At 47.4% G+C, this 12,628-nt stretch overlaps 1 long non-coding RNA gene across 1 annotated transcript; it reads left to right on the forward strand.

Moving 5' to 3' along the window:
- The first annotated feature begins 1,197 nt into the window (after positions 1 to 1,197).
- On the forward strand, positions 1,198 to 2,596 carry LOC107984405 (uncharacterized). The gene is made up of 3 exons (XR_001748428.2): positions 1,198 to 1,275; positions 2,255 to 2,307; positions 2,438 to 2,596. It is a non-coding gene; the product is annotated as an uncharacterized LOC107984405 (long non-coding RNA).
- Positions 2,597 to 12,628: the final 10,032 nt, after the last annotated feature.

Genomic DNA, 12,628 nt, shown 5'->3' on the forward strand with positions numbered 1-12,628 from the left:
CGAGACTCTGTCTCAAAAAAAAAATAAAAAATAAAAAATTAAAAAACAACAGGTTGCATCTACCTACCAAAGAAAGAGGCATAGTGCTTGGCAAGCCTGTTTGGATTTTAGAATCAAAATATATCACCTACGAATGTATTCCTTCTACCCATTTATCGGGAAGCTCATAATAAGGTAATAAGACTGTCTGTTTTGAGTGGGATCCAAAACAAAAAAAGACTTCGCAACAGGTCCAGGCAAGCTATCCTTTCACTTTGAGTCACACAGGATAACACTGACCAAGTGGTAAGTGAACGCAGCACGTAGTGCATTCTCTAGAAGGGTTATCTTGCACAGCTGTGTTCAAGGAAAGCTTCTTTGGAATAGTAAAGCTGAGGGGTCATATGCTGGAAAGGAAGGGTGAGTCGGGTCCAGTCAGGGAAAACAGCTAATCAGCTGGCGTATTTCCATGTAGCCTTGTTTCAAAAATCCCAGGCTCAGGAAGTATTCCCAAATGAAAGAGTTCATATTAAGCTCAGAGTTTCCCACCAGGATTAGAACCCACTTCTACTCAAGTTCTCCTCTGTGAGACCATCAGGAAGGTTATGCCATTGCCTGCATCTCTTCGAGAGGGAAATCGAATCAAAAGTGAGCGTCTGCCAGTCTCAGTCCTGTGATGGCTGAGGAGCCTGGGCGAAGAGCATAGTAAATATTTGGCAAAGTTAGCAGCCTTCGGAGCGGGAATAGAGAAGGGAGTGAGTGATTCAGAGAGCAACGTGCAGGCCCCTGCAGCCGGAGCAGGACTTTTGCTCCTATTCCTGAGCGAAAGGGAACAGGCTGCTATCCCCCTGACCGGAGGGGCCTTCCAGCACCTCCCAGGGGAGCGGCTGCGCTTGAGGCGACGGGAACAGAGGATGGGGACGGCGGGGGCTGGAGTGGCCGCAGCAGCGAGTCCGCCGTCCGACTGCGGGGAGGGAGGGTGGCAGCGACGCCCTTTGTGTGGGGAGCTGCTCTGGGACCCAGATGAAGCAGGGGGAGTTTTAGGCAGCTTAATGAGTTGTTGCTCCCTAACCACACACTTGTCAGCGGCGGTATTATTGTTGTGGTTTAGCGCCTGGCAGCGCCGCCTCCCCCCGCTGCGCTCCCGGCTGGCGGCTGCGGTTCCCAGTAACTCCCGCCTGCCCCTCCGCACCGCGTCCCAGAGCCTCGCCCCGGGCAGGCCTCCCGCTTCGTCTCCCCTTCTCCTCCCCGTCTCAGGGAGCCTGCAGCCAGGGATCAGGCAGGCGAGATGCTAAGGTAATAATTGTATTAATGAAAACGGCAAACACACATCCTTTCCATCTGGCAGCACAAAAGGATGGGCTGTTGGGGATGCAATTACCCACTACAGGAGACAGTAAAATATTTGTCAGGTTTAGCAATAAAATTAATATCCCCAATTACTAGCATCTCGCTAATGAGATGCATACAAATTGCTTTTCCTAGTTGCAAGAAGAACCTGTGGCATAAAACCCAAAGCCCAGGAATCTCTGCCAGTGAGACTGCCATCGTCCATGCCTGGAGACTCAGGGAGGTGAAGCCTGCGGGGATGTTCCGATTGTCAGTGCTGTGCACCCCATTACACAGTGGGGTTGTGTGGGGGGGAGTGTCCGTCTGGACCCTGTGCCCCCAGGACTCTTGAGAGTCTGGACGATCCCAGACCCACGTGACAAGATGGCCAAGGGCTCCACGCACCGTGGCGCACCGGTCACTTTCCCCGATCCATCCACACAGCCTTCCAGGTCTCCTGTAGCAAGCGGTAGTAGCCCACCTATGGTCAGATATTTCCGCAATTTCCTACATTATTTTCCCTCATGAAATTTGTATATAGCAAAAGCCGAGTTTGCTTTAGGCAGAGCATATGCTTCCTATTTATTGGAATAAGTTTTCTAGTTCCTTAGCATTCTGTTCACTGATATTCCGTCTGTTAAAAATATCTCTGCTTTTTCCCCTGATACTCAGTAGTAGGCAGCCACAGTTTTCCTCTATAGTTTTTCTGGGTAGAAACCAGAACATGCTCTCCACAGCCTGGGGGAGTATTCTATACCTTTGCAGAGGATGACCTGATTTCCCACCCATAAAGAGAAATACGATTTTCCTACTCTCCACCAGTTTCACGGATAATGCTATCAGGCAGCCTGATTCCAGGGAGGACCCTTAATTTAGAAAGGAAAAAGCTAAGACCTAACACTTTGTCTCTCACTAAGGGAGTCTGGAATTCTGATTCCTGTTTCAGGTCTATAATGTGCTCTATGTAGGAGGCAAAAAGAAGAGGATCTGAATCCTTTGGTGAGTCTGGGACTCCAGGAGATTGCAAATAAGCTCTGCAGGAGCACTCTTCCCAGGAGGAGGGGGTCTATGGCCCCCTGGGGACCTCATATGCTGAGCCCACAGCTCTGATGCCTCTGCAATTTCTCAGAGGTCCACTCTGGAGGCCATCGTCCCTGCTGAGCCCCCCAGAGACACAGGGAGCTTCGATCTCAGCAATGGGACATTGATTTTTACAACTCCAGCAACAAGAGAACAGTGAGTAAGCCAACACTACCCACATTTGAGAAACAGAATTTGGAGTTAAAATGGCAGAATCAATATTCAAATTCATAGCTCTATGTGTGTGTGCGTGCATGTGTGTGTGTGTGTGTGTGAGAGAGAGAGAGAGAGAGAGAGAAGGAGGAAGGAGAGAGACAGGGAAAAGGGGATTTTATGACTAAGAGGAAAGAACAAACAACTCCTTGGAGGGAGGAGATCTCAGTTGAATATGCCCCTAGTCTGTGCTGCTGGAAGGTTGGAATAGAGGATGGAGTGGCCAAGGCCAAGGGTGATGATGATATACTTTAGTGGCTCCATCAACCCAGAGGTCTCCTGGGAAGAACCCACCCCCAACCCCACATCCTCAAAACCCATGTATAGGGACTAGTGCAGTCTGTTGTCTGACCCAGGGAGTTGTCCAGGGGCTGGGCTGCAATGGGTCATGGCTTGGTAGAGTCACTAGCATAGCAGCTACCACCCTGGGCCCCCAGATCTGTCTTTCTAGGCCTGACTTCAAAGAGGTTCTATAAGTAGATTGAACTTACGTTTCAAGTATTATGAACCTCATTATGTTTCAAATATTATTTTGTAAGGTGGTTGTCTATAATTTAGAATGCCTTTTCTCATATATGCAACACTCAACAAATGTTTATGGATTGTCTACTCTATCAGATGCTGGGAATATAATGGTGAAAAACAGAGGTCGCATTCCCAGATCCACCCATAAAAACCTATTTAATCAATAATAAAGGCAAACTATTCTTTGTCTGTGGAAGCATTGCATTCTGAGCTCCATCTTGGAATACCTGGAAAATAGCATTCCCTGCCTTGGCAATAGCAATTGAAACTCCCACCTGGTCCCTGAGCAACTGCAACCACAAGTAAGAAGTGTAGAAACCAATATTTGTTGAATGCCTACTGTATGTCTGGCTGTGCTAGCATTTTACGTACATCTATGAGATAGGCATAATTGCTCTTGTTTTACAGCTAAAGAATCCAATACTCAGAAGCTAAGCAAGTTCCCTAAGGTCACACAGTTACTAAGCTAGAATTTGAGTCAAGGCTACAGATATCAAAGCCCATGTTCTTTCTTCTATTCATCAACTGCCTTATTTGGGGCTTTGGCCGGAAAGGATGAGGCAGCATGGGAAGGCACTGAGGGCACTCAGAGTGCTCTGGCCATGGGGCGCCATGCAGCCATGGGGAAGTGAAGTACGCAGATGTATGTACAGATCATTTGCAGGCCCACAGTTCTGAAATCAAGCTCTTAGTGCACCAGTTTCCGTGATGTGGCTTGTTGCTGTTATTCACCTGGAATCCTTAGGAGTGACCAGGCATTCAAGTCACCAAGACTCAGCTGGAACTAAGAACCCTTTTCTTCCACTGTGTTTTCTAGGGGGAGATGCTGTAGGAGTCTTGCAGGAGCAAGCGAGTGTGAGTAATAAAAGAGTTGCTTATGTAATAGGAAACCACACTGTCTAGGGCACACGGACTTCTCTGGGATCCAGGGAGCCAGAATTCCAAGGTTCTCTTCCAAGTTCACCCACACTTGGGTCTGTCTTTTTGAGCAAGTCACCTCACCTTCTCCAGTTTCCTGCTGTGCAGCCTTGACACAGCAATGTTCTTTTTTACCCTTTTCCATGATGAGATCCCCAAAGAATGGCTGTGCATAGCGACCGCTGGAGCTGCTTGGCAGTCTGAGCAACATCCTTTGGTTTCTACCCCCAGCCGATGCCCCTCTCACCTCCAGGTGCTCACTTTTCTATGGCACCCCACTGGGGAGGTGACCCTCATTTATCTCTCAAATGTCTTCAGCCTTCTTTGATGTGCCTAAGACGATTTCTCCCTGCAACCCCCCTGGGGCCCAGTGAGGTTATCATGGCTTCTAACTGTCTAGCTGTGAACAGAGTAGAGACATCGTCAGCTTCTACTTAAAATAAAATGTCTCAGCCTGTATGCCTGTTTTCCATTTCCACCCCTTCCACTAATGATGTCTGTGTTCTGAGAACGTCACTTACCTCTCTGGACCACAGTTTTTTCCTTTGTAACAAAAGGGGATGGAACAAGATGTCTCTGGGAATCTTGCAGTTTCCTGATTTTGAACCCCTTACCTAGGAATCTGAGTCACCTTGCACATCCTTTCATTTCATCATCTTAAAAATGACAAGGATCCACAGGTTTATCGAAATGGACACATGGAAATGTGTACACAAATCCAGGCCCTTCCCAACCATGCACCTAGTTAGACTCCTAGTGTCGGTTCTCTGAGAGGCAGTATTCCAGCCACTGCAGTCAGGTGTCTTCAACTAGGGCTCTGCTCTCTCCCCCACCCTTGCACCTTCTCCCTGGTACACAGTCCTCTGCCCCAGTCCAGCCCAGTGAGAGTTTCTTCTGCACAGCAGGTGGCTGTCCACCAGCCAGTCCCTCTTGGAAGTTGGAGGGGCCAAGCTGTACGAGAAGACGTTTTCCTTACCCCAGCCACCCGCATCCCAGCCTCAGGACAGTTTTGCTCTGCTCCACACGCCCTGCGTGGGTTGGCTCCTGTTGCTAGGAGAACCTGACCATTTGCATTTCCTGCTGTTTTTATTTTAGATTAGCAGCCGCACTGCTGCAGGAACACAGGGTATTTTAAGAAAGACAAAAAAGGAAAGGGTGAGGGGAGAACCTAGCATGGGTCCTCCTTCCCACAGGCCCCCAAAACACTCAGACCAAGGTGACAACCATCGCAGACCCTGTCCCCACCCAGGCCTCTTGCCTCCTCTTCCCTGAACGGCACCATCTCCCAGTCCTGACACTTTCACAAACACCTTCAGTCCATACAGGAACAAATGGCCCAGTCTTCTTACACAAAAAGCAGACAAAGGTCAAGTCTTCAAATCAACCTAACACACACACAGGACCAGCTTCCCCATGTTTAAAAAAAAACCCAACAAATAGAAATACTCCCAGATTCCCATGTGGATTCTCCAACCCCAAAACACCTGATCTCCAGAGATGACTCCTGCTTTTTCCTTTGTCTTTGCCCTTTCTCTGCCCTAAAGATAGAGATGTGACTTTTCCTTCAAAGCCTTAGCACAAATCAGTGTCGCCTTCCCAGAGCCCCTCAGTTCTATTAATCTCTCCCTCCCCTGTTCTGAAGATCCCTGCACCTTATCACGGTTACCGTTTTATCAGATCCGTAATCTACACTTCTGTCTCCCCCACTAGACTGTGAACTCCTAGAAGCCAGTGTCTTCATCATTTTTTTTTGAAACAAAGTCTCACACTCTTGCTCAGGCTGGAGTGGAGTGGTGTGATCGTAGCTTACTGCAGTCTCGACCTTCTGGGCTCAAGCGATCCTCCTGCCGCAGCCTCCCGAGTAGCTGAGACTATAGGCATGTGCCATGATGCTCATCTCATTTTTAATTTTTTGTGTAGAGATGGAGTCTTGTTATGTTTCCCAGGCTGCTCTCGAACTCCTAGACTCAAGTGATCCTCCCACCTCAGTCTCCCAAAGTGCTGGGATTATAGGCATGAGCCACCATGCCTGACTGTCTTTGTGATTTTTAATGTTAATCCCCTTCTTATCTCCAGTGCATTTTGCTCACAGCAGGTGTTGATTAACACTTTGTAAAGTTTGTTCATCCCCATGGAACACTTTGAGAGTCGTATGCCATAGATGGCCGAAAACATTTTCTACCATGAGGGAGCTTTTAGCGCTGTGGAGGAAGGCAAGTCGATTGTTTTAAACAATGTGACAGGTGTGGTTGTAAAGATCACAGAACACGTACAGAGGATTACAGAATCACAAGAAGGTTCCTGGGGCAGGGGTTGGGGATAGAGAGAATGGTCAAGAAAAATCAGGAATAGCTTCATGGACCCGACTCTTAGAGAGGGATTAAGAGTCCACCAATGGGTAACCACTCCAATCAGATGGAACAGCTTGTGCAAAGGCTCAAAGATCTAAGAGAAAGGGATTGAAGTAAATATACCACCCAGGTCCCAAACAAGTGGAATCTCAGACTGGCCCAGCTCACCCATCCCATACCCACACCCCAGAGCCTTCCTCACTTCATCTTTCCCTAAGAGGTGAAAACATCTTCCCTCTCCTCAGCCACCTGTTCCAGGCTGTGCGGAGCAAAGTATTGCCAAGAAGAAGATGATTATCAGAGACCAAACAAAGCTGTTCCCACGCATACGCTGCAAAGCCCCCCACAAGGCCATGGTCCTTAATGGAACAAGCGTCTCCTTTTTAGCCTCCTTTCTAATAACCAAGCCCTGGTCAGAGAATAACCCTGCCACCCTCACTCAGGAGGACCAGCTTCTGAGGACCCATTGTGAGCTTAGGAATCCATACCAAAGTAGGCATTTCCATGGTAGGCTTTTTCCTCCAGTCAGCTCTGTCTGAGCAGGGAGCACAGAGACCCTTGAGAGATGGTAGCATCTCCTCCCCCAAATCCAAGGTTGTTGACCTTTTGTGAGACAGACACTGCAGCAGAAAGTCCTAGTTGTCTACCATTCTCTCCTTTTCTTTCCTACAAACACAAACACCAGTATGACATGGAGATGCCCCATGTCAGCGAAACTATCATATTTTCCCAGCCTCTCTTGCAGGTAGGTGTGGACAGTAAGATAGAAATGGATTTCTAAGAAAGCTCATTAAAAGAGGGACAGAAAACTGGAGTGGAACTTTTTGGTCTTTCCTGCCCACCAACTTTTTCCTGCTTCCTGCCTAGAATCTAGGTGTTCAGCTGAGGCTCCAGCAGCCATCTCAAACCATAAGCTGACCTCAAAGATGGCACCACATGCTGAGGATGACACTGTGGATCACATACCAGCCCCGCTGGAAACTCTGTCTCCAAAAAAACTGGTGATGTGCACAGAAACAGTTTTGCAAACAACTTCCCAGGTTTGATGAGCCCCGAAACCAACGCACAGACCCAAGATTAAGAACTCAGTCTTAGGGAAGTGGGGAGACCCAGCTCTACCTCAACTTCTTAGATGACTGTCGTTAAAGTGGGAAGAGCTTAGGATTGTGCCGTGATGGTGTCCTCTGTGACTGGATGTGTCCTGTCTTCCCTCTGGAATCCCAGCACAAACACCTTCCTTGCCTTATCATTCTTAATAGTTCTGACGCAGGGCTGCTGCCGCCGCCACCCATCTCTCCCTGCTGCCTCTCCTCCCCTCTCCCCAGCTATTCCCCCTGCGCTGCCAATCCCACTCCAAAGTCACTTTCTACAGGGGAGGAAATTAGCATTTGTGTTGGGACAGAAAGTGACACTGCTCAGCTCTCACTGTCATTCTGCTCTTAATTAATATTTAACCTCAGAGAGATTGTGTAGCAGACGGAAGTGGCTGATGGGAGAACAAAGCCCTGGCTGGCTCTCCTTTTCAACACTGCCTCCCCTACTTGCAGCTCCTCCCCCTGCACCTTCAGGCCCTGAAGGACCCAGAGGCCCAGGGGGAATGGAGAGGAGTGGAATGGGACACCCTTGGGGATCCTTGACCTCGGCCCTCTTGTCTAGAGAGCCCTTCTGCAACAAAATGAGAGCAGCCAGTGCCCGGAACCTGATTCCCAGTGCCCAGAGCAAGACCCAGGCCTGCCCTGCCAGGAAGGATGAAGAGACAGGCGAGGGGGAAAGAAAAGCAATGCAAATGTGCCCCTCAACAGATTATATTTAATGCACTATTTTTAGTTGCCTTCAATCCCTCGGGGCTGTCAGGGCGGTTGCAGCCCCACTCCCCCGGGAGAGGAAATGACAGGCATTATTACCCAGCCCAGGAACACTGGTGCAGTGCGTGGTGGGTGGGGGAGGTGCTGCCTTGCCAGCTCCACAATTTGGGAACTTAACTTCCAACGGGAAATCGAGGACACAGAAAAATGCAGCCTCAGGACCTCCTCCTCCCTTCCCAGCCAGTCAGCCAGATCACCCCACATGCACGTCCACTGGGCTCAGACCAGGCGTGTGGGAGTCTCCTCAGTCCCCAAGTTGTCTCAAAAACTAGGTTATACAACATCCTTCACTGCCAAGTTCTTCCTTCTCTCTAATCTTAGCCCTGCCTTCGGTCTAAGCCCATTTCCCCTTGCTCTGCAAGCAGAGGCAAAGGAGGACAGCTGGCCATCATCCCCCAGCAAGAGAGCCCTTCTTTGTCTTGGAAATGATTCAGTTTCCTCTCGGTCTTCTCTTCTCCAACCTGAGTCATTCCCGTTCCGTGAACCTTTCCACACATCATGTTTTTTTTTTAGCTCATCTTGTTGTCACTCCTTTAACCTTGCTCTGAATATATCCCCAATTCCTCCTTGCAACCCCAAACAGACACTGGACTTTGGCCAGGAAGCACCTAATCATCGATTTGAATGGAAGAACTTATTATGTATCATCTGGAAGAGGTTTTCTAATTATCTTGATTGTCTTGCCTCTCCATAAGACCAAACACTTTGTACAGACTGCGTCCTCTACGTTGCGATCTTCCCTCACCCTCATCCAGCCAAGTGCAAGGCTGATAAGAAGTGGCACATAACTTTCCACAGCGTTTAGGTTTAAATGAGATACATATGTAAAATGTGTTGACCAAGTGCCTATAATTTACTTTGTAAATTATGCAATGGCATCTCAGTGGTAGTTTTTTTACTACTGTGGTGCATACCAGATTTTTGGAAAATGCTTGTTTTCTTAACCATAGCATTGTAAATCATATAAACCATAGCATTATATTATAGTCATTCATTCATTAAATATTTATTGAGCTCCTACCATGTGTCAGACACTGTGCTAGATGCTGGGATGTCAAAATGAAAGGCCAGGCTGGGCGCGGTGGCTCATGCCTATAATCCCAACACTTTGGGAGGCCGAGGTGGGGGGATCACCTGAGGTCAGGAGTTCAAGACCAGCCTAGCCTACATAGTGAAACTCCCGTCTCTACTAAAAATACAAAAAATTAGCCAGGTGTGTGGCAGGTGCCTGTAGTCCCAGCTACTCAGGAGGCTGAGGCAAGAAAATTGCTTGAACTGGGAGGCAGAGGTTGCAGTGAGCCGAGATCACGCCATTGCACTCCAGCCTGGGCAACAGAGCGAGACACCACCCTCCCCCCCAGCCCCCCACCTCAAAAAAATGAAAGGCCAAATCCTGGTTCTATAGGCAGTCACAGCCTAGTGAGGAAGGTAAGACAGAAACAACGGCAAGGCAGTGTGATGACTGCCAATAAGGCACACACTTGGCGAGAGGGCATACAGGGAAGTGGGGGAGCTGATCACAGCTCTTTACTCTGCAATGATTCTGCCTTGCTAGGCATCAACGTGGCCATGTTTTCGACTGCCAAGGTCCCTTCCTAGGGCTGGCTCATCCCTGCCCCAGTCTGTGTGGTCCTGGAGTGTTTGTCAGTAACATGAGCAAACGCCCAAGAAAGGTTGCTTAGAGCCCTTTCACGAAATTTTATATACGGGTACATAGAGAGAGACGGTGTCTTTTTCTCTTGAGAGTTTGGGGATTCTAATAACCTTCCTTCCTCCACCACCATAAAAGGCCAATCTGAGGGTGAATCTAACACAGAGACACCCTGAGGGAGGCACTGCTGAAAAATGGAAAGGGAGACAGAAACCTGATGGCATTGTTCTAAGCCCTTGGTCCAGCCACGTCAGCCCAGTTAAGTGGCTTCATAACATCCCCAGGTTTGTTTGAGATAGTTATTCCAGAAGGAAGCAGAACCCTGGGAGAGCCCTCAGTGCAAAAATGACCTTTCCCAGAGGGGAGCAGAGCGGGAGAATGTTGCTTAATATGCAAATTTAGTCTTCTGTCTTAATGGCTTCGTCACTCTGAGTAAAATGCACAGATTGAGGAGAAATTCATCCAGGCAGGAGAGGTGGCCAAATAGCGGGGACAGCTTTGGAGTCAAACAGACTTGAATAGAAGCCCAGCTTTACTGCCTACCAGCTGTATGGCCTTGTTCAAGTTACTTAACCTTTCTTTTCCCCATATATATATTTTTTTACCTAGAAAACATTGGAGAATGGTATTTCTTCACCAATGGTATTTGCTTGGATTATTGTGAGTATGACACAACATAATGTATTGAGATGTACGTGCATTCTTTAGTCATCCAGTCCAAAACACCCTTTTCTTTTGTGGAACTGCTTTTCCCCTACTCTTACCAAATGGTTCTGCAGGCCCTGCCAGTCAATGAATCCAACTGGCCACACGGTTGTGCCACAGGCTGGGTCAATTATAATACTTCCCTCACCTAGCCACAAGGGTTAGTGCTAGGATAGGCATAAGGCTCAAATCTGGTTTATCAGCGATCTCCTCTGGGAATTTTACAATTATTATTAATGAGGTTGCAATTGAAGAATTCTATTTCTTCCTTAGTCCCAAGGCTATAATGGCTTAAGTTCAGAGCTGCCTGCAGCCACGGTTCCAGCATGATGGAGATGTCAGCATTATGCAGAAGGAAGCAGAAACAAGTGACATAAAGGGAGGAAGAGAGTCTTAATAGGATTTTACATTCCTGGAACTCCACCTCTGCCCTTTCAGTGAATCAGTGCTTATGTTAATGTAAGTTGAGTTTCTATCCTTTTCCACCCAAAGAGTCTTGATCAATACAGTATGTAATGCACTTAGTACAAAGCAGATGGCACATAATAAATGCTCATAATAAAGATTTGGCACAGAAAGTGCTCCCTGGAAAATGGTTTAAGACCTTCTAGATTTATAGAATCTTTGCTTTAATTTAAGATAAATTCTTTTTATTTTTCTATTTTTAGAGGCAGGGTCTCACTCTGTTGCCCAGGCTAGAGTGCAATGGTGCGACCCTAGCTCACTGCAGCCTTGAACTTTTGGGCTCAAGCCATCCTCCTGCCGCAGCCTTCTGAGTAGCTGGGATCACAGGTGTGTGCCACCATGCCCAGCTAATTTTCGTTTTTTGTAAATACAGGGTCTCACTGTGTTGCCCAGGCCGATCTGGAACTCCTGGGCTGAAGCAGTTCTTCTGCCTTGCCCTCCCAAAGTGCTGGGATTACAGGTGTGAGCCACAGTGCCCAGCCTAAAATAAATTTTTAAGCCCTTGTATATATGTATATATACATTGGTTTACAATAATAAAAATGTATAATAAAAAGAAGTGCCCTACCAGTGTCCCAGAGGTTTCTGCTTTTCAGTATAAGCCATTTCCATCTAATAATTAAAAGTAAATAATACTCATTTTAAGGGAGACAAGAACTTTTAGGGAGTCCTTGTCCTAAGGGTATCTAACTAATCTTTCAGAATATCCGAATAACTAGATTGGCATCTGTTATGGACTACCGAGTGCTGTCTGCAGGAACAGCAGAGAACGGGCGCCACTCCCCAAAGGAGCTCCAAAGGCTTCACAAATGAGGGACTCTAGATGAACATTCACTCTGCCTTTAATCAATCTTCTCTCAGTGCTAACCTTGGAGGGTTTTGTTTTCATTGAAAGAAAAGAGAAGATTCCTCACTGGGTTGTCTGACATGGTTGATCCTAATTCCCTTGACTAAGTTCATGGATTAATGACTGCTGCCTACCAGGCCAAACCAGTGGCCAGTTGGATGGAATGAGGACCAGCCAGCCACTGCCATTCATAAGGGAGTAAGGGCCTACCGCCTATCACTTTTTTAAAACCAATATACATCGGCCTTTTGGCTAAGAGATAAAATGCCTAAACCCATCCAGTCCTCATCTATCTCTGGGTATCTTTGTCTTAAAGGAATTTTCCTTAGTTACTAGTAATTCAAATTATAGCAAGCCCATACTCCAGACATGGGACAACTGGGAGAGGTTGACATGATAGAAATAATGAGAGAGACTGGGGACAAAGGCTTGAGTGTGACTACGGGAACAACAAACAGTCACTTGGAATCCTGCAATGGTTCTTTCGGCTAAGCAAAGCCAAGCTAGAACAACCCATTAGGAAATCAAGGTTGCATAAGATTGCATAAATTTATGTCTGAATTACAAGGCATCCCAACTTAGACATTTCAGGGTCTGTTATCAAAGAATCCCTGGAAACAACTTCCACATGCTGTCCCCATCTTGTCAAAAAGATAGGTGCATTGATCTGATGCATTCGAACATCTCTTATATTATTGTG

The sequence above is a fragment of the Homo sapiens genome, chromosome 11, assembly GCF_000001405.40.
Source record: "Homo sapiens chromosome 11, GRCh38.p14 Primary Assembly".
Taxonomy (NCBI): Eukaryota; Metazoa; Chordata; class Mammalia; order Primates; family Hominidae; genus Homo; species Homo sapiens.